Here is a 22,669-nt window from a genome sequence, read left to right on the forward strand (position 1 = left end):
TTGAGTATACTCTCCCAGTGGATGGTTTTTTTCTACATGCACATATTTAATTCTGTCTTCACTCCAATGACTCCTAAATATTTATCTCCAGCCCAGACCTCTCCTCTGTGTTCCAAACCTGTATTGTATATCTAATAGATTCATCAACATCTCCACTTGAAAGACACCTTACAATCTTATAACAAGTCCAGTTTCATAATCTGACCCTCCAAGCCCAGGCTTTTTTTTTTTTTTTTTTTTTTTTAGTGAATGGCATCACAATCCATCCAGTCATATAAGCCTGAGACTTGAGGACCATTCTAGATACTGTTCTCTCTCTTCCACTCATCCCCAATATTCCATTAATATCAATCCCTTAATTGTATTGATTTCACCTCCTGAATATCTGTTTTCATTTCTCTCATCTTCACTGTTCCTACATATTTCCACGCTACTATACTGGTTCACATAATTTCTTGCAAGAAAATGCTATCACTCTTCACATTTGTACCATTATTGTCCACCCTTAAAAATAATAATTTTTATCTTTAAAAAAATTCAGAAGATGGGCACAGTGGCTTATGCCTGTAATGCCAGCACTTCGTGAAGAAAAGGCATAATGATCTCTTGAGGTCAGGCATTTGAGATGAATCTGGGCAACATAGCAAGAACCCCCATCTCTATAAAAAAACAACAACAACAAAAAAAACTAGGTATGGTGGCATATGCCTGTAGTCCGAGCCAGTCGGGAGGCTGCAGTGGGAGGATAGATTGAGCCTATGAGTTTGAGGCTACAGTTAGCTATGATTGAGCCACTGCACTCCAGCCTAAGTGACAGAGAGAGACCCTATCTCTAAAGAAAGAAAAATTAATATATGATTATGTAAACTATTGCACAATTCCACCCTTCCCCTGTGCTCCCCTGCTACCAATAACTTTCTCTTTGGGGATGGAAGACAAAACTCTCTCCATCCTGCAGCTTCATCTCTGTTCTTTGCTCTCTAGAATCCAGTCATATGGAATTTTAATTCCCCTTGAGGTCTGTGCTTCTTTCAGATTCATGGCTTCTTTCTGTTTGATCCTTTTTACTTCACCTACTGAGCTCATCCTTTAGATTTTAGCACCAAAGTGATTTCATGGGTAAGCTTTTCCTTCCTTCTGAACAGGTTACCACCCCTTTCATAGCTTTCACCACAGTTAATAATTATGCACTTGTTGATTTTCTGTTTAACATTTTTTCCATGACTGGCCCATAGGCCTCAGAAGGGCAGGGCCCCAGGCTATTTTGCTTACTTAGCATTGAGTCCCAGCTCTGACTGAATGACTTGGCATGGTAAATGAATTTTCACAAACAGATTCTAAACTGAACTCAGAATGTGCTCAATTTTGACTGTAGGAAAACTAGAATATTTAATTGCTTTGGCCATAATAATTAGAGAATCTTAACCTCCTGGAATTGTACTGACTGATATTTAACAAAAAATGTTGATTGAGTAGAACTCAATAGTTCATGGAAAATGGTGAACTCTATACCACGTCCTCTCTACTTGATTTAACTCATTGATGAAATTTATGTAAAACACCTGTTACAGAAAATTTGAGAATTTAAGAAGGCCACTTTATTATTATAAGCTTTCATTTGTGGTCTAGCAGTTAATAGTGACACAAATCATTGCAATAGAACTAAACATTTTTATTATTAATTATTATGGATATAGAGTTGTACATATTTATGAAGTGCATGTGATATTTTGATGCAAGAATACATTGTGTAATGATCAAATCAGTGTAATTGGGATATGCATCATCTCAAGCATTTATCATTTTTTGTGTCAGAAACATTCCAATTCTACTCTTTTAGTTATTTTGAAATATTTGTTAAATTATTGTTAACTATTGTTGCTCTAAAGTGCTACCAAACACAAGATCTAATTCCTTGTATCTAACTACATTTTGGTGCCTATTACCTATCCCCACTTTATCCCCCACCCCGTACCCTGCTACCCTTCCTATCCTCTGGTAACCATCATTCTACTACTTCTCTCTATGGTAAAAGACATGACAATGTGCAGACAAACCACGAGTACATTCAACATTAAACTCTGGATTAATAAGACAAAGATAAGAGTAACCAATCTGCGCAAATAAGATTAAGTAACAGTGCATCGTGACAACTGTTTTGCAAGCATTCTTACATATCTCTACTAATAACTTTTATATGCTCAAGTAATTGCCAAGTTGAAAATCAGTGAACTGCATCGAAGTCATTTGATTAGTCTTTAATGCACATGAAATTGAGTTTTAAAGCAGTTTACAAATCAATTCTGCAAGCTTATTACGATGCATTGAAAGTCAATGACTACTTTTATTAATTTTTCATCATTTACTTTACACTCCTCCTTTAAAAAACAATTCACTGGCTTTCTTAAATTAATTACCACATAGGCATTTAGTTTATTCCTATAGTTTAGTCATATCCAGTGTGGTACAGATGGTCTTTTCTGCATCACTAGGTTAATAGGACCATGTTATATTGCATTACAGATTTAGTTGTCTAACTGCAGTTCATCCGGAAAGAATGCACATTGAGAATTTTGCTCAATGTTAGCACTTTCAGGCATGAAATATAAAACATAGATGAGTGTAATCCTGTTATGGATCTTAACACTGAAAATCATCCTTGTAAGTTAAGTCTTCAGATTTTATTATATTTGATTTCTAACTTGAATAATTAAAATAGATACTATTTAACCTATTTACTATAATGCTCAATAAATGTGAAATAAGAGAAACAGAATAAAGTTTTGCACATACTTTTACACATTTCCAGAAAGAATTACAAGTACTGGTAAACTGCTTACATGATTATAATTTTGTTTAAACACATCCTTTTCATCTAAGAAGGCATATAGTTGTTAATATGCATGAATATAATTATAGTAGTTATAATTAACTACTACTATAATGTCTTTCTCAGGACATGTCATTTTTGTGAAGATGCTGAATATAAATTTAGAGGCTGCATCTTCATCAATCCTGGCATATGTAACTAACAACTTTTTGGTTCTTAACCAAGAAAACATAGATAGTCCCATCATCTTTCTCTGTGAAAAGTCTATAATTATCACTTTAATCTATACATGCAAAAATGTTAAATATTTTGCCAAATTCATGCAGAAAATTCACGTCAGGTTAGCACAAAACAGCAGTTTCCGTGATTAATTTTAGTTTTACCCAAGGTTTGGTGTTTTCTTGGGTCATAAATATCTACATGAGAATCTAATGAAAATCCTGATTTCTCTTTGAAATAAATATAGATAAATGCATACACACAATTTTGCTTATGATTTCAGAAGTTGAATAACTAACTCACCCTTCTCCCACCAAAGCCCTTCAACATTGACCTCCCCTAAGATCCCCTAAGATTAGTTGATTCTTGATATTCCTTTTAGTTTTCAATTTATTTGCTTACATATATGTGCTAGTCACATTTCTCATAAAATTACAATGATAACAACTACATTTATAACCTATTTCCTATGGTAATGGGGCTTCAAAAATTGGCTTTACTAAACTTTTCCAGTTTGAGAAGACCTCATCCATCTGCTGCTACTATATTCTCTCCCTCTTTCTCTCTCTCTCTCTCTCTCCCTACTTCTTTCCTGTGTGAATTGATTCTCATCTATTACAGTTTGGAAGAAAACTATGACACCCACTTTTGACTTCAACCAATTCTTCTAACTTAAGACTACATATAGGGATATTAGAAACAATCATTTTCTTGTGGAAAAACAAAAAATCTCTGCAAAATTATCCATCTACTTTCAATCATTGATTTTTCTCACAATACAACTGCAAATTTCCAATCATCTCCTTCACTCAATTTTTCATCATTTCTATAAATTCTTAGAACCTTGATTATGTCATATTTTTACTGCAAAAACCCAATTAAATATAATTAGAAGCAGTTTTATTCCTGCTTGGTTCTGCTAGGTTGAATTATGGACTGAAAAGTAGAGGGAAACTTAAGTTCAAGTAGTCAAGCAAATTAGACACCATGATGAAATAGGAGAGGATCTGTATGGGGAGTAAAGTAAGGTTTGTTGTAAAGGTCATAAGCAGAGATCTGTCCCCTCACAAAGGGTTGGGGTGGTGGGAGGGTATCTTAGATTGGATTCCTGAAAGTAGATTGTGAAAAGGCTTATTGAGGGAGTACTCTCATGGGTTATGGCTATTAAAAAGACAGGATTAAGAAGAGGAAGTTAAACTGATTTTCAAATGGAGCTGAAGCATCGGCCAGTCCTCCTGGAGCTCAAATGCAGGGATAGCCCCTTCAGAATTCTGCCAAATTGAAGCCAGGGTACCTGGCCTTTGCATCCCTGTATCTACGAGTCACTGGTTATAGCCACACCACGGCAAAGGCCATAATGCTGGATAAGGTAGTTTCCTGCCTTAAACTACAATTTCCAGGGAGGGGCAGCAGTGTACCTGGAACAGCTGGTATTTCCAGCAGCTGGGCTGTCTCAGCCCTAAGGAAGATGTCTGGGCTTAGGGCCACAGTGTCCAGTACAGAGAGAGAAATATAGCCATCTTTTGGCCTGAAAAATTATGATCTGAATTAAGCCTACAATCAGCTATTATCACACAAAATAAGGATGTGTGAATTGGTATCTGTGTATCCTTCTAATGTCAGAGTACTTACAAGCCCGACATTAAATTTGAAGCCTTAAAATCAGTGTGAGAATTTTCTCCAACCACATAACCCTGGATTTGCAGAGAAACACGACTTTTACTCCTGAATCAGAGAGAGAAGAAAAATGTGGTGGGATAAACAGAGATAATGACTAACATAGCTGCCTTTTCTTTTTAGGAAGAAAATTTTCATAGAGGGATCCTGCAAGGACATGAGTCTCTCCTACTCCTACTCCTACATATGTAGGAAGGTATATGACGTTGCCTATGAGCTGGTAGAACAACTCAGAATATTGTCAAAGAATGATGTAGATAGCAGCTAGACCGGGAAAGATTATCATTCAATGTGAACTCAGTTTTAGCCAAGTGGCTACCCTGATTAGTGGGTGACAAATGGGCCACTGTAGCCAGCGCAGGCCTGGTGTCAGTGATAACAAAAGATCACCAGGGAGTCCACTGACCTAGTAAACTTGAAGCTAGATATGAGGTTCTTTAAAGGAGCAGATCCGATCGGTAATGCCATGAAAGACTAAGAATCCTGTGACATTTCCTAGGGTATTAGATACCAAAGAAAAAGCAAGATCTTATAGTAAGCAGTGAGGATAGGACCAAATTGGAATCTGTAAGTTATGAGTTAAAGGCAGGAAGTGGAGGTTGGAGGAAGTCAGTGCTGTAGCAAGGCTTGAGAACAATTACAGGAGCTGCAGCAGCAAAACAGCATTCCCGTAAACATGTTTGCAAATGTTGACAATATCTGAGGGACACTGCTTGTGATCTGGCTGGGTCATCACAAGAGCAAAGAAGCCAGAAACATGAATTTGGATAAGGGAGATAGGGCAGAAGACAGGACAAGATGGTGGACTGATTTCAGCCTCTTAGGGTTAAAATCTCTCAGTGAGAGGGGATTGGGAATGAAAGCAAACACAGCAGCATAATATACACCTAATTAAGTTTCTATGTGCTTAAAATAACAGCTTAATAAATCAATGCATGCAATACCCATACTTTCTTTTTGATAGATTTCTTCATTTTGTAAATGTCAAATTAAAAAGTCCATTCAAGTCCTGTGAAAGTGATAACATCTTAACCAAAATTGAGCATGGATGATCATGTAGTCATCACATAAACAGACACTCTCTTGATGGACTGTTCCAAACACAAATGGTACAGACACCAATTACCCAAATGCTGTATGTATGTATGAATAGGGACTGTCCCTGATTGGGTGTTGCTAGGTAACACAATCTTCCAAATGATACTCACATGGGGGCTCTCTGGTGTGGTTATACCAATTTGGGCATTCATTAACATCCATGTTAATGAATAAATAATGTATTTTACTCTATCGGGGGAAATTCAGCCAGATATCGGGTGAAATTCACCCCCAATATTTCACATAGATTCTTTTCTATTTTCCCTAAGTGTCGGCCAGTCTGAGAAATAAAGGGACAGAGTACAAAAGAGAAATTTTAAAGCTGGGTGTCCAGGGGAGACATCACATGTTGGCAGGTTCCGTGATGCCCCCTGAGCTGTAAAACCAGCAAGTTTTTATTAGTGATTTTCAGAAGGGCAGGGAGTGTACGAATAGGGTGTGGGTCACAGAGATCACATGCTTCACAAGGTAATAAGATATCACAAGGCAAATGGAGGCAGGGCAAGATCACAGGACCACAGGACCGAGGTGAAATTAAAATTGCTAGTGAAGTTTCGGGCACTCATTGTCATTGATAACATCTTATCAGGAGACAGGGTTTGAGAGCAGACAACTGGTCTGACCAAAATTTATTAGACGGGAATTTCCTCGTCCTAATAAGCCTGGGAGCGCTACGGGAGACTGGGGCTTATTTCATCCCTACAGCTTCGACCATAAAAGACGCCGCCCCCCCGAAGCAGCCATTTCAGAGGCCTACACTCAGGGATGCATTCTGTTTCTCAGGGATGTTCCTTGCTGAGAAAAAGAATTCAGTGATATTTCTCCCATTTGCTTTTGAAAGAAGAGAAATATGGCTCTGTTCCGCCTGGCTCACCGGCGGTCAGAGTTTAAGGTTATCTCTCTTGTTCCCTGAACATTGTTGTTATCCTGTTCTTTCTTCAAGGTACCCAGATTTCATATTGTTCAAACACACATGCTCTACAAACAATTTGTGCAGTTAACACAATCATCACAGCGTCCTAAGCGGACATACATCCTCCTCAGCTTATGAAGATGATGGGATTAAGAGATTAAAGTAAAGACAGGCATAGGAAATCACAAGGATATTGATTGGGGAAGTGATAAGTGTCCATGAAATCTTCACAATTTATGTTCAGAGATTGCAGTAAAGACAGGCGTAAGAAATTATAAAAGTATTAATTTGAGGAACTAATAAATGTCCATGAAATCTTCACAATCCACGTTCTTCTGCCATGGCTTCAGCCGGTCCCTCCGTTCGGGGTCCCTGACTTCCCGCAACATTTTCAACTACTGGCAATTTTCTTGATCTTAGAAATAGATACGATGTTCAAATCCTGGGGGGTGGGAGAGGCACATGACATAAAATTTTTTGCAACTCTGAGTAAATTTTCCTCAGATTTCTTTTTTGCAACCATGCCATGTTTCCTTTTTCTATGTCAAATTTAATCTTTAAAAAGAGGAAACTTCCAAATACATGAGAATAGTAAACATTAGTTACAGTATAAAACCTTTAACTAAATTAATCTGAAAAAGAGATTGTTTCTATAGTAATGCTTACTGAATGGGAAACTATATTACTATTGCAGCTCTTCATCTTCAAAATAAAGAATGACTTTCAGCTCCAGTGGAGAATAGTAAAAACACTGTAAAAGCCCTCTTATAAACCAGCTCTATGGAAAATTTCTTTGTTCCTTAGCTTGAGGTCTAAAAACTGAGATACAAATTTGAGGAAGTAATGTAGCTATTGAGGCAAATGTGTATTTTATGTGTCAATTATCTAGAGTATTGAGTCCAAAGCATATGAATAAAATTTTAATGGTTTAAATTAGCTAGATAATTGTCTAAATTATCAACTATATTTTGTGTGGTTAGGCTTAGCTTCAGTTGAAGCTTTTAGAAAAATTCAAAATTTTAGTAAGCGTAAAAGTAAAATCCTCTTTGATTTGGAAAGTGTAATTTTAATCTTTTCAAAGATAATGGATATCCTTTAATCCTTAATAAGATTAAATGAAAAAGTACACTTTAAAAATTACTATAAGATACTTCAGAAATTTTAGGTTATTTCTTACATTTATTTTCACTTAAAATTTATTTTTATAGTTCTAGCTAAACATTCATTAACCTAGACCATGGTTTTCATACCTTCTTGGGCATCAGAATGACCTGAAGTGTTTGTTAAAACACAGCTTGGTGAATTTCTGTGTTTCCGAATCAGTTGTTCTGGTGTAGGGCCCAAGAACTTGCACTTCAAACACATTGCAAGGTGATGCTGATGGTCTCACACTTGAAGAACCATTGGCAGGCAATCTGAGTAATGCCCATTCAGTAGGAAAAAAGTAGCTTAATTATTAAAGGAAAAAAATAACTTTTTATGTCTTCTACGAACATGTATTAGATACTTACTATTTGCAAAATATTAGGTCTATATGGAAGAAAATAAAATGTCCCTGCCATGAAGTAGAGCTGAAGGGTTATGGGCCACTTCAAATAAGATAAAGATGTTCTCCAGTTTTCCAGTCTTCACTTCTCTCTATATTTTTACTCCTGGCCTTCTTCATTCATGTTACTTGTTTACTAAGCAAACAGATGTGACCAACGTGGTAGTAGAGAAAGGTATGAGGTATTATGATCTCACAGGACCCATGTGGGTGAGTTAAGAATGCTCCACAGATGAAGAGTCCTTTGGAATAGGTATGCTAGAAGAAGAAAAGCATTTTAGTAGAGGGGACACCACATGATACAAATTAGGTGGAATAAAGTGAATGGTAGCTTCAAGGAACCCGCACTAAAATATGGGATGTGATGGGAAATTAGGCTGAAGAAGTATCAGAAGCTATATCATGATAGGCGGATTGTATTATCCATGCATAGGGCTTTGGAGTCTTATATTTTAGGCAATAGAGGACCATTGTAAAAGATATAGACAGTGGACTATTATGATGTGATGTACGGCAATATAACATGTAATCCTGAAGAAAAGAAGCTTAAAGCAGGAATACTAATTGTGAGACTATTATATCAGTCCAAGAAAGATGTGTTGAGGGTCTGAATAGGACAATTATAGTGGGCTATATGAGAGAGATAGTTAAGAGATGTGTTTCATAGACTTGGCTAGCCTTTGGTTGGGAGAATAGAGGATTAGAGAGAAGGAGAAGTTTAGTATCATGCCGAGGTTCTGGCTTGGGAGCTTTGGATAATGACTATTCATAATGTATGAAAAGGAAGAGTTTTTGGTGGGATGAAATGGATGGTAGCTGAAGATGGAAAGGCAGTTCTTAGCTTGAAATGCTAAATCGCCCAGAAATACTAAAATCTTCTAAAGGAGATGTCTAGTGGGATATATGAGGTTGTAAGTAAGCCTAAAGAAAGATATGAGCTGGAGATACTGATTTTTGAGAGGGTCTTTACGCTGTAAGTAAACAATGAGTTTGCCTAAGCAGCGTATATAGAGATGACTAGGAAGGAATGAATATTAAAAGCAGCTCCCAGGGGAGAAACAAACAGCTTTTAAGAGTAGAGTAAGAGGAACAACAAATGGTACTGAAATAGCTGTTACAGAGGTGGAAAGACTCAAGGGAATGCGGTGACATGGAATGTAAAAGAAGGGAATCCAATTTAAGTACCAATTTTTGTTTAATTTAGGTTCCCCCAATCCCTTCAAGAAATGTTTAGAGAATTCAAAAGTGTGCATGTATCTGTGTGTGAATCAGAGTATGATACTAGATTCATGCTATAGAAGACATATGAAATTCAAATATAGTTTTCAATAATTTAAAATGAAACAAAAATAATTTATTTAAAACAGTAAAAGTGAAAACCTCTTATACTCGATGACAGTAAACTCGGGCATTAATCACGTAAACAAGAATGCATAATTTGTTTCTCCTCCATTTTTCACATATATTCTACATCATCAAGTATTACAGCTGAAAAGAAGAGAACACACTTTTCCATTACTATTGGCTCCTTTAAATGTGGCCCCTTATGCTTGGTAGGGAATGCACAATTTTCTCTTTCACTCCGTATTATTTCCATTTTTTAGACTGCAAACTTTTTACAGAAGACTTCAGTGAGAAAGTGTTCAATTTCATCTTTTATTTTGTGTTTATATCTATTATGTAGCAATTAATTGGCTCATTTATTCAGTACTTATCAAAATTTGATAGTAAGATTTATCAAAATAACACTTTCTTCTGTATTTGCTTCATTTCAGGGGACATAAGTCATCTAATTGTGGCTAGTTCCAGGTCTTCTACAGAGAATAAGTTTATGAAAAATTAGGTCTTCTGAGAGAAAGCTGCTCACTTTTCTTGTGTAGAGTTCCTGGCTCTGAAACTAGGTATTTGTACTGAGAAATGATCCACCACTTAATTCTATATAAAAGAAGTCTCTAAGTTTTCAGAATGTATGGAGCCCAATGTATCATAATGCCTTTTTATAATCCATATTTTCTACTGTGTATTTCCCTCCTTTTCTTTTACTTAATCTTTGTAATTTAATACCTCCCTTTGTTTGAAGCTATGCTTCTTGTGTAGTCATGTCACATCTTTTCCTTTATTTTGTCTCTATTTCAATAGAGGTATTTAAATTTTCAGAAAGTAACATCTTCCCAAACACACAACAACCTTTTTCTTATTACTGTCACTGAAATCCTACCACTCTGAGACACGCTAGTGTGCGCGAGCGTGCGCGCACACACACACACACACACACAATTACAAACACTTTAGTGAGAGAGTAAGCATTGGTTAAAGGGAAATGTCAGTTTAAAATTCGCCTTTGTGAATACCATTGTATACTTCTTTGTAACCATATTTTTATTTCAGATCATTTCAAGTGATACAAAAGCTGGTAGTTACAATGTAGGTTTTGAAGCAATAATATCACAATTTTGAAGGTTAAGATGTGTCTGCTAAAAGAGGTGCATCAGAATTTTTTATTCTTTATTTTTTTTAAGTGGCTATCACTGGAACAACAATGTTTGAAATAGCCAGTATCATTATTTTACACTGGTAGGAACATTATACTTCAAAGAAAAAAAATCAGCAGGGGTTTGCCAAAGATGAGAAAAAATATGAAGTCGAAATTGAGTAGTATCAGAAGGTATCAAGCATAATTTGTCTTTCTTTAACTTTTCTGCTTGATTTAACAATCCATTCCTCAAAAACTGACACCAAGTAAGAGGAAATCTAGGTCATATAATGACAGAAGGGTGTAATCAAAACCGATATACAGGTGGTAAATAATGGGCCTTTGTAATGCTCTGGAAATAATTTTATCTGCATATTTTTACTCTGTCCAACGCTTCCCTGTATGAGTGACAGCTAAAGCATAGGGAAACAACTTATGTTCATAAAATAAGAAGCAGAATCTCTACTGCATTTGTTGTAACTTGTACATAGGACTTTATTTTAATCACAATATAAAGTTGCATAAATTGTGTATTATATCCTGGAGGCTACTGTAAAGACTATCTTCCATTTAGGAAACCAAGGTTTCAATTCTCCATTTACATTTCAGTTTTAAACGGACACATTATCTTTTTTAAAAGTCCCCTTCTCTGCCATGCTGCTGATATACCCTCCCTTTTTCACTTCCATCCAATTTGATGGACCATGAAAGACAACTATTCCGTGGGAAAATATGAGAATTTGAGAAGACAGTGAAGAAACTAAACTAGGTATCCACCATCCAAACAAATTACCTTATTGGTATTCATGACAAATAGAGGTTGACATTAGAAGTGTACTCTCAGGAATCATTCATTAATGATTGCATTTGTTAGTGGAAAGTATAAGAAAATCAAAACAGTCATCAACTTTGGGATCAAGACTTTGGGGTAAGAAGTTTTTTATGGTAGCTCAATTTTTTTTTCTAAATATGTCACCTGGAAGATTGATGAATTAGTAATTCTGATAGAGTTTTCTCCAAGTATAATATTGTTCAGGGAAAAACATTTAACATATTAGAATCATATTACATTAATGTATTTGTGTCAATATTGCTTTAAAAGAATATTGTACTGTCATTTAGACATACCTAAGGAAAAATTGCTATTAAGAAAAATTATCAGCTGAGGTATGTTTGATTTGGTATTATACTTAGGTTTACAAAATAGGCTTTTGGGACCATGTTTTTCATTATACGCATATTTTTCTATCTGAATTTATACACAGTATAACAATTTCCTTTCTCAAATATTAAAGTTTTGTGATAAGGCTTCCAGCTTCCCATAGATAATGACAGATATCTAAATTACCAAATCCTCATGGACCCCTATATAAACCTTGGAGATTTAATAAAGGAGGAGTCAAATAAAAGTACCCGTAAACCATGCTTATGCAGTAACTAGAGAAAGACAACTTACAGACTTTTATTTACATGTAGATGGGGAATTTGCTAATACAAGCATAATTGGCTCAGAAAAGCACACTGCAACAGAGAGTCAAGGTGAAACTAAATGAAGAAAAGAGGAGTACAGAAGTCTCCCTGGAGTGTTGGGACACTTATTAAACAGAGTTCACCTTCAGCAGAAGAGGGCCTCTCACTGAGTAAGAAATCTCAAGAGCAGGTCTGTAACATGAGCACCAGTTCCTGGAGAGACAATAGAAGGGGCTTAAAAAGTGCACAAGACCCCAGATACCAGAGTCACTTACAATGGATAGTCAAGCAGGTTGACGTCAGACTACTTGTCGGCAACAGTTGATGTAAGAAAAGAATGAAACAATATTGACCAGAGTCACAAGGCATAGAATATGGACCAAATACTATGTCATATCTACCTAGGCTGTCCTTCAAATGTCAAAGTGATATAAAAACATGTTAAACACGAGAGAACTCTGAAAATATTTTACCCACACACGTTTCCCAAAGGGGATATACTTCACCTAAGAAGCTGTGTTTGGGGAATCTCTGACAAAAAGACAGTCATGCATACATTTCACTAGAAATTTGAGGCCAAAAGAAAAGTAAGAAGTATATACACATTATCTACTTGACAAGCTAGAAATACCATATCCCAACAAAATGGGAGGGAGAGGAGAAGAAAATAGATAAGCTCACTGAGTACCTTACTGGTAACAGATGAGAGTCAAGTGATGTTATTTTAAACTGACACACTGAATGGCAGGAGACTAAAGATACTCAGGAGCACAAAGATGAGCCTTAAGAAATAGAATATTGTTGACGAAAACTGCATGGTGGGAAGCAGAAGAAAAGGATTATAAGCTATTAGGTTGGTGCAAAATAATTGAGGTTTTTGCCGTAATAATTTTATTTTTGCTCAAAATAGGGAACCAAAATACACTGACTGAGGAAAAGAGGAAAGAGTTAAGGAGAGTATATAACATTTTCTTATAAAGATAACTGTTGGAAAAAAATATAAATTTTCCCAAATACCAAAAAAACCCCGAAACCAGAATAAAACAACAACAAAAACCAGTTTTTAAAAGGGCAAAGAAAAGATAACATAATGAAGTACTTCAAGAAAGTATATTTAACCTAGAATATGTTAGTATCAAGAAAACAAACACATCAGTTGCGTCAATAAATGTAAATACCTATTGCAGTTATAATCAATTAACGTAGAAGTATCATTTTCTTATAAGCAATAAAGAAAAGCTTCACATTGCATAAAAACAGCACACTGTATAAAAAAGACACAACCAAAACAAAGGCAAATGACTAAAAGATGACTTTAAAATACAGAAAGAAAATGGAAAAAAGAAAAGACTCAAGTGTCATGATTTAAGATACAGTAGAATTTAGGGGGAAAATTAGTAAACAAAAATGAGATACTTTGTAATGCTAAATGCTAATTTATACTAATAACAAAATATATGGCTACCTATGAAATATGAATATCTATGAAATAAACAAGAGAAGCAATATTCATAAAACAGAAATTGCAAGAGAGAGAATGAAAAATACCAAGAAATATTCTAACAGTAGAAGACTTTAATACACTTTCTTAAATCCAAGACATATCTGGAGGACAGGAAATAAGTAAGGATATAGAAGACAGCATAATAATAAGGCAGAGTTTTAAAAGTAGATATCAACTTTTGTAGCTTGATATTCTGTAATATCACTTTTTTTTCATATTCACATGACATACTCATGAAAATTGATCAAATAATAAACCACGGGCAAATTTTAGACAATTACAAAAAGAGAAATAATACAAACAGCATTTTATGACTGTAAGACAATAAAACCAGAAGTTTTTAACAAAAAATAATACTTTAAAAATACCTTTCCTACTGGAAAACTAAAAACTATATTAAACAACTCAAGTTAAAAACTAGGAAAACAAAAGTTGCATATTTTCTAGGAAAAATAATATTACATTTCTAAATTCATGGGGTATAGCTTACACAGTGCTTAGATAAAAATATATAGCCTTAAAATCATATACCAAAAAACTGAAAGAATGAAAATAAATCGATGCAATGAAAAAGAGGCAACAAAGTAAGCTGATAAAAACTGAATTAAGCATATAAAAGCAAAATTTTGTGAGTTTGAAAACTAATAGAATTAATAAACCAATAAAAAGTTAAGTCTTTGGGAAAAAAGCTACTGATTAATCAACAATTTTAAATGGAGAAAACAATAATAAAAGAAATGAGAAATTTCAAGAAAAAACTATAGGAACTGAGGATTTTTTTAAAAAATCATAAAATACTACCTTGCATAATTCTATTAAAACAAAATTTAAATATTTACATGAAATAATTTCTAGGGAAATAATGTCTAGCAAAACTGAAACTAGTTAAGATTGATAATTTGAGTAGACCATTATTAAAGAAGAAAAATAAATTTGTCAAGGAGCTACTTCACAAACAATTACCACAAATAAGTACCTCGATGACTTTACAGGGGAATCACACCTAACTTTTAAAGTCTAGATAATCCTCAAACTATTTAAATGCTTCAATAGCATACAAAAAGGAGAAGAAACTCTCAATTATTTTTTGAAGGAATTATAATATTGATACCAACACCTTAGAAAATTGCACATATGCAGGCAAAAATTATAGATCAATCTCCCTATTGGATATTGATGCAAATTGCAAAATTAATATGCGTTAAGAGAACCCAACAACATATTACAAAATGAAACATATCATGTCCAAATGTGTCTTCTTCCAAGGATGCAAGAATGGTTCATATTAATAACTTCATTTATAAAATATATTTTTAAAAAAGGAAAAGAATAATACACTCATTTCCACAGAGGCTAAAAAAGGCATTTTACAAATTTCAGCACCCATTATTAAAAAATTTAAGTCAATGGAAACTTTCTTAGAATAATAAAGCACATACAACTCAACTCACATGTCATTATTTCAATTAATGGGGAATGTTTGAATTAAAGGCACTCGCACAACAATCAGAGCCAGGGCGTAGTGTTCACTGTTGATTTCTTTTTAATGATACCTTGGAGGTAATAGCCAGCACATTTTGACAAGAGAAAACTATGAGATGTACAAGATTGGAAAGGAAATATAAAACAATTTTTATTTTATGTGATAGAATATTTGAAAAATTAATAAAAGTCAATGTATAAGTCACTGTAAACTAAGAATTCACTAAGATAGTTGGATGTAAAATTAATGTATTCAGAAAGAAAAGTTACTTTTATAAGAAAATATAATGGGAAAAAAGTTCCATTTATAATAGCAGCAACAACAAAAGTTACATGCCAAGGAGCAAAGTAAACAAGTGAGGAAAATTTTAAGACATTCCTGAAAGACACGAAAATTAGACTTAGAAAATAAAAATGCATACTATATTTTTGAATAGAATTACACCATTATAGAGACATCAATTATCTTCAAGTTAACTTATACAATTAATGTGAATCCAATAAAAATATTAAATAATTTTTTGTAGCTCTAGAAAATTTGCTTCTAAAGTTCACATGGAAAATTAATCAAAAAATAACCTCAACCTTCTGAAAATTAATATCGAATAATAAGGGATCATGGTATATTAGTTATTTATTGTATATATAAACTGTATGATTCTGAGCGATAGATAGATCAACAGAACAGAATAGAAAATCCAGGAATAGATTCAAGCACATATGGAAGTTTAGTGTGTAATAAAGGTGGCATCTTAAATTACTGGCGAAAAGATAGACTTTTTAATAAATAATGTTAGAACAATGAGTGAGCCATTGAGAACAAGATAAATTAACTGTATACTCTGCACTATACACCAAAATAAGCTTACAATGCATCAGAGATCCTAAAAAATGAAATCATACAAGTTCCGGGGAAAGGAAGTGATTTATTTAGAACCTTGGAGTGGTGAAAGCTTTTCTAATTATGTCTCAAAAATTCAGATGCAATAAAGGAAAGGGTTATAAATTTAGACACATTACCAAAAAACCCTTTAAATAACAAAAATTATGAAAAAGATAAAAGACGCATTATTTTCTAGGTAAGCTATTTGCAGCTTACATTATAAATTGACAAGATAGAGAAAAAACAACCAATATGTATAAAAGAAATGGATAGTTGATAAAGAAATGTCCTTTGTGCTTAAATATATGGACCTTACTCATAGAATAAATATAAACTAAAACTAATTGAGGTACTACTTCTCACTTATGATAATGACAATAGTTGAGAAAACGGATTCTGACACGCTTTGTTGGCATAGTTTTGGGGAAAAGGGCTAATTCATGGCTGGTGGTAGTGTAAAATGGTTCAAAGCATGTGGAGGAGAATTTGACAGTATCTGAAAAGATTATATATGCATCACCCTTGACCCAGGAATCCCACTTAAAGGACCCTGAAGATACATTTGTCCAATAATATACATATGAAAATACATAAGCAGAATTTACTCTGGCATTATTTGTAACAGACAAAGTTTGAAAACAACCTAAATGTCCATCAGGTGTCAGGGGACTGGTTAAATACATTATATTATATCCAAGTTAAATGGCTTTCAGAGCAGCCAACAAATTTTGGAAGGTACCAAAAGGTAACATGAGCTAATGGCTTACTCATGTCAAATTATTTTACTTCAAATATAAAGATATTTTGAGAACTGAATTGAAATGAAGACTGTATTAAAGTGACTACAGTAGCAGAATTATCAAGAGCATTGAGTACACATTGCCTTTTACTTACGGTTTACAGTTTTGATTGGTAATATTGGGTTTACCCTCTCTGGGGTGGCAGCGTTTTCATTATCCGTCACATATTCAAAATTAATGATGAACATCATAGCCACGCCCTCTTGGTTTTTCACTGGAATTATGTGAGTGTTACAAATAAAAGTGGACCCTAAGGAGATTAAAAATGAATGTTAGTTAAAAATATGCCTTCATTCTGAACTATCAAGTAACATTAAAATTGAAATATACTCTTAAGGAAATTTGTATCTTAAATGATCACTGATATTAAAAAATAATTTGATCTTTTTTACTTCATATTTTATTGCATACCATATTCATTTAAAATACATATGTCTTTCCAGAAAAACGTTACAAATAAATTCAGTTACTGCATTGTGGAAAAACAGAAATATCAAATTCTATTTGCTTTCACACCCATCCCTATAATAGTTAATTTTTAAAAAGATATATTCTTTAACTTTCTAGAAATAATTCTTACCATTTTCTTATAAATTTTGATTAAATCTGAATCTCTATAAAATATAGCTGTATAAAAAATGAAGGCAACTCATGTCATCTTGATTTTAAAAATAAGCAACTTATGTGCTTTTTCTCTTTTAATTTATTGGACATAAAATGGTAAATTATTGACTCTATCTTATATATGTTACAGTAATTCTTTTCTTTTCTGTGCAAAATTCACAACGTCCAAATTACAATGGTTTTGTTTGGTTTTTATTCTGTTAGAAAATAAGAACAAAGTTTTGTCTATATTATTGTGTTAGTAATCTTCTTCATGAGATGGTACTCTTCAAGACGATATTCTTCTAAAAGCAAAATTACAGGGCTAGTAAGCTATATTTCATTAGAATTCTGTGGAAATGAAATAAACAAAGGTATGACTCAGTTTGCAATCAACCACTACCATCCGTCTTCCAACAGAAACCCACAGGTCCAAGATTCAGAGCATACACTTGAAAAGTAGACTTCTTTTAAATCAACTGACTGCTGACTGACTCCTTGCAGCTGACTTCTAGAATTCCCTCAAAGCAGTTTCCTCACACTTTTACCCTCTGAATATGCTCTTTAGTCAAGGTAATGGAAATTTCACAGGCTTGAAATTTGTTTCTGTTCCAGCTATTTAAGTTACAAATAAAGTATTTTTAAAATGCCAAAACTTCAGAAGGTGTTCTTAATCATTTACAAGCTTGTCCAACCCCGTGGCCTGTGGGCTACATGTGGCCCAGGATGGCTTTGAATGTGGCCCAACACAAATTTGTAAACTTTCTTAAAACATTGAGCATATTTTATTTACTTATTATTATTTTTTTAGCTCATCAGCTATCGTTAGCATTAGTGTATTTTATGTGTGGCCCAAGACAATTCTTCCAATGTGGCCCAGGGAAACCAAAAGATCGGACCCCCCTGATTTAGGAAATGTGTCCATTTCGACTGCTTTTTTTCACAACTAGCTGAGACCACCTTGAATCTTGAGGAGAATGATGATTCAATGCAGAGGCGGGGGGAGGTTGAGAGCAAGATTAGTCTGGCATGAAACATCAGACGGAAATGTGAGCAAGTGCCAGGACCCCTGGAGGCTGGAGACAGGGGCCGGGCAAACAGCTGAAGGATCTTTTTGGGAGCCCTAACATCTGCAAAGGCCAGTAGATGCAAGTATCCCAAATGGTGACCTATGTAAGCTCTAATAAAGTCAGCATAAGAAAACTCTTTCCTTTCTTCTTATCCTGCATCTTGGCTCCTGCTGCTAGAGCTGAGAACAAAAGCTATTATGGAGACCGCCACAGATCGAGGACTTCATAGGGGAGGGATTTTGAGGGTAGGCCTGGAGATCTAACAATTATTTATAAAATTGTTTCTATGGGTAAATATGTTCTAATTTCCAAGGAATTGATCGACAGATATACTTTTAGAAAGACTTTTTGTAAGTTAGGAATGCCTATGTGCTCCTTATAATTCAGATGTGCTAGTTATAATACAAATGTGGACAGCTTCCCAAATTTGAAATGTGGATAACTTTATTTATAACTAATTTCATATTATCTATAAATGTGGCAATGGTTTTACAGATGTTGGAAAATATGCCTTAGGAATGGCAAGCTGCACCTTCAGTCTTCAGCTTCTTCAGCTATGTCTCCAATTCATTTAATAAAATAGTTAGCTGGAGCACTTGTCATAGTTTCCATGGTAACAAACGGGATGACTTTAGTAAACAGAAAATAAGCAATTTAAGACTGTTCTATTAGAACTAAAAATAGAAGTGCTTCAGGCCAGGCATCACAGCACACACTGGTTAAACAGAGTCTGAGGAGATGCTAGAAATAGTCATTATGTACTTTCCTAATGAACCAAAATACATATTGATTTTACCATTTAAAATGACATTTCCTGGATCATTTAGAATATCATTGTGAATTCGCACATTTGCTATTTAAGCAGTTTCAAATTTTCCAACACTTGGGGTGTACTGTTGACTATAAAAAAACATAAAAAGTGTTTGAGAAATCAAGAAATAAAATATGTGGGGATAGAGATCTAATAGGCTTGTAATAGAGCAGTTTTGCTTTTGGTAATAAGGGGCAAAATCATGTTTTCTAATACAAGTGTTTGAAAATTTACTGTCTAAATCAGTAAATTTTCTGATTTAGTAATTTACTGAATTACTAAAAATCATAGTACTAAAAATCATAAAATTATAGTGCTTTATATAAAAGTTCAGCTATCTGCATTGGCTCTAAAGCATATTAAATAAATGTAATTAATCTGGGATTTATTGCCCACTATCATTGTTTCCTGTACATTTCTATTAAGCAATATATTTCCTCTCAAGTCAACTGAAAACTCACATTCACATACTTTTCTCTTTTAGTTTGGGGATTTAATATCTCCATCAATCTTGCATAGCCTCCCGGAAGGCAGACAATGAAAGGAGATACATGGAATTTAGAGGAAGAGAAGAATAGAATATATTTTATAGAACAGAAATATTTTAGCTTGGATAATTCTACAAACTCCAACTAAGTTCTGTCAAGATACTACTTTGGTCAAGTGACATTGCCCTAAGAAGTCATCACTCTGTGCTCCTAAGTATTTCTCTTGAATGCAACATTGGGAGCAAGAGCAATGGAAACCTAACCCAGCAAACACTAACCAAGCAATGAAGAAAAAAAAATAGACATCTAATAATGTGGAAATAAGACTTCTAAACAAATCTAAAAAAATTTCAGACCTTGTTAAATGAATCTTGTATTCAAATGAAATTAATAATGTTTGTTAAGAAGCAGATTATTTACAATAATATTAGCTATTATTTATAAAATTATACATGCAAATATACTAATATTGCTAGACTACAGTTCATATCCACATTTTCTCCCCTGAGTGAAAACATTTCCAAAGTGGAAAAGACTGTTTAGGAGGAACAGTGCTAATTTTAATAAAATTTTTAGAGTATGTGATTTTTGACTGCAGCCATAGAGCAAGCAAACTCAAGGTAATCTGAATAATTATGAAAAGTATACTTTATTTTATAAGTTGGTGGCGTATACCTAGTTGCATTTTACAATAAGATGATGGGACTCCTCCTTTTGAACTGCTTTAAAGGCGTTTTATTGTACTGTGTGTGGTTTGTGTTCACAGGGCATCTTATGTCTTTGAGGAATAGCATAGAAGCCAATGTAACTAGGGCTGTGTATGGTTGTTGTGGGACAGGGCAAGGTGGGGAGAGTAGGCAAGGTCAAGGGAGAAGCCAGAAGCCACTGGGAAGAAGGCCAAAGAATGGATCTGAAGCTTTTCACTGTGTTAGACAGGAAGGCACTGGAGAGTTTTATCCAGGGGTTAGCATGATTTGACTTAAAACTTTCCTTCACATGTGTGTGTGATGAATAGCTTATAGAGGAGGCCAGGATGGAAGGAGGGAGACCAGTTGGGAAAATACTGCAATACTCTTGGTAAGCCAAGATGGCAGTTTGGCCCAGGGTGTTGTTGTTGCAGGTGGTAATGAGGGGTCTGTTTGGGATGTTTTGAGGTAGAGCGTATAGGATTTGCTGATACATTGGATGGGACATAAGATAATGAGAGGTGTCCAAGTTGACAACAAATTTGGTAGCAGAACCATTTATTAAAATGGGGAAGACTGTGGAAGAAGGTGGCTTTTGGGATTGTGTAAATCCACATGTTTTCAGCATGTTGACTTTGCAATTGTTTATTAGATATCTAAGTGGAGATGTTGAGAAGGTAGTTGGATCCAGGAGACTGAAGTTAAGTTCAGGGATTGGCCCAAGCTAGGATACAAATTTGGGAACAATTAGAGAATGGATTACGTATAAGGACTGGATGAGGTCACACAGGGAATCAATATAGTTGGAAAACTATGTGACCTGAGTCTGGAGGCACCATAGAATCAAAGAAGGGAAGATAAAGAACTAGCAGAGATTGGGTAGGAGCAGATGGTGAGGTAGAAAGATAATCAAGATTGTGGTGCGTTCAATAGCAAAGATGTGGAATCAGCCTAAATGCCCATCAGTGATAGACTGGATCAAGAAAATGTGGTACAGATACACCATGGAATATTATGCAGCCAAAAAGGAATGAGATCAGGTCTTTTTCAGGGACATGAATAGAGTTGGAAGCCATTATCCTCAGCAAAGTAATGCAGGAACAGAAAACCAAACACTGCATGTTCTCATTTATAAATGGGAGCAGAATGATGAGAACACATAGATACATGTGGGGGAACAACACATACTGAGGCCTGTAAGAGGCGGGGGATCGGGGAAAGGGAACATCAGGCAGAATAGCTAATGAATGCTGGGATTAATACCTAGGAGACAGAATGATCTCTGCAGCAAACCACCATGGCACACATTTACCTGTGTAACAAACCTGCACATTCTGCACATGTACCCCTGAACTTAAAATAAAAATTGAAGAAAAAAAGGCTGTGGTGTGTTGCAGGCTAAGAGAAGAGGTATTTCAAAAGGAGGACTTGAGTGATAGGAGGTCATATCTTGATGGTCTTCTATGTTCTTGAAATTCAGTCTTTTGGAGTTGGGGATATAGCAAATTGTTTTAAGTATGAAATTGTATTTTGGTGTCCAGAGCACACAGACATGGGCTGTGTTAGTATTAGTGATGTCTTAAAGAAGAGAAATAAATTTAAAAGATATAGGGTCTATTTATTTGACTGAAGAGACAAAAGCACATTTAGAAAGACTATTCTATATCTCTCTTTTTTTTTTTACTATTTACTTAGGTTTTATAACTTTATTTAAATTGTTAGTGGCTGTGATTCTTTTTTTTTCTTTGATGAGCTTCTTTTTATTATTATTATTATTATACTTTAAGTTTTAGGGTACATGTGCACAATGTGCAGGTTAGTTACATATGTATTCATGTGCCATGCTGGTGTGCTGCACCCATTAACTCGTCATTTAGCATTAGGTATATCTCCTAATGCTATCCCTCCCCCCTCCCCCCACCCCACAACAGTCCCCGGAGTGTGATGTTCCCCTTCCTGTGTCCATGTGTTCTCACTGTTCAATTCCCATCTATGAGTGAGAACATGCAGCGTTTGGCTTTTTGTCCTTGCGATAGTTTACTGAGAATGATGATTTCCAATTTCATCCATGTCCCTACAAAGGACATGGACTCATCATTTTTTATGGCTGCACAAT

At 34.7% G+C, this 22,669-nt stretch overlaps 1 protein-coding gene across 7 annotated transcripts in view; it reads right to left on the reverse strand.

Annotated features, from left to right (window-relative positions):
- Window positions 1-22,669, reverse strand: part of KCNH7 (potassium voltage-gated channel subfamily H member 7) — a 467,361-nt gene that overhangs the window by 148,529 nt on the left and 296,163 nt on the right. For all 7 annotated transcript variants that reach the window (XM_017005220.3, XM_017005219.3, NM_033272.4 and 4 more), the window contains exon 3: window positions 16,990-17,145. In XM_017005220.3, the coding sequence (XP_016860709.1) occupies window positions 16,990-17,145 (156 nt within the window). The remainder of the gene's footprint in view (window positions 1-16,989; window positions 17,146-22,669) is intronic.

This window comes from Homo sapiens, chromosome 2, assembly GCF_000001405.40.
Source record: "Homo sapiens chromosome 2, GRCh38.p14 Primary Assembly".
Classification (NCBI taxonomy): Eukaryota; Metazoa; Chordata; class Mammalia; order Primates; family Hominidae; genus Homo; species Homo sapiens.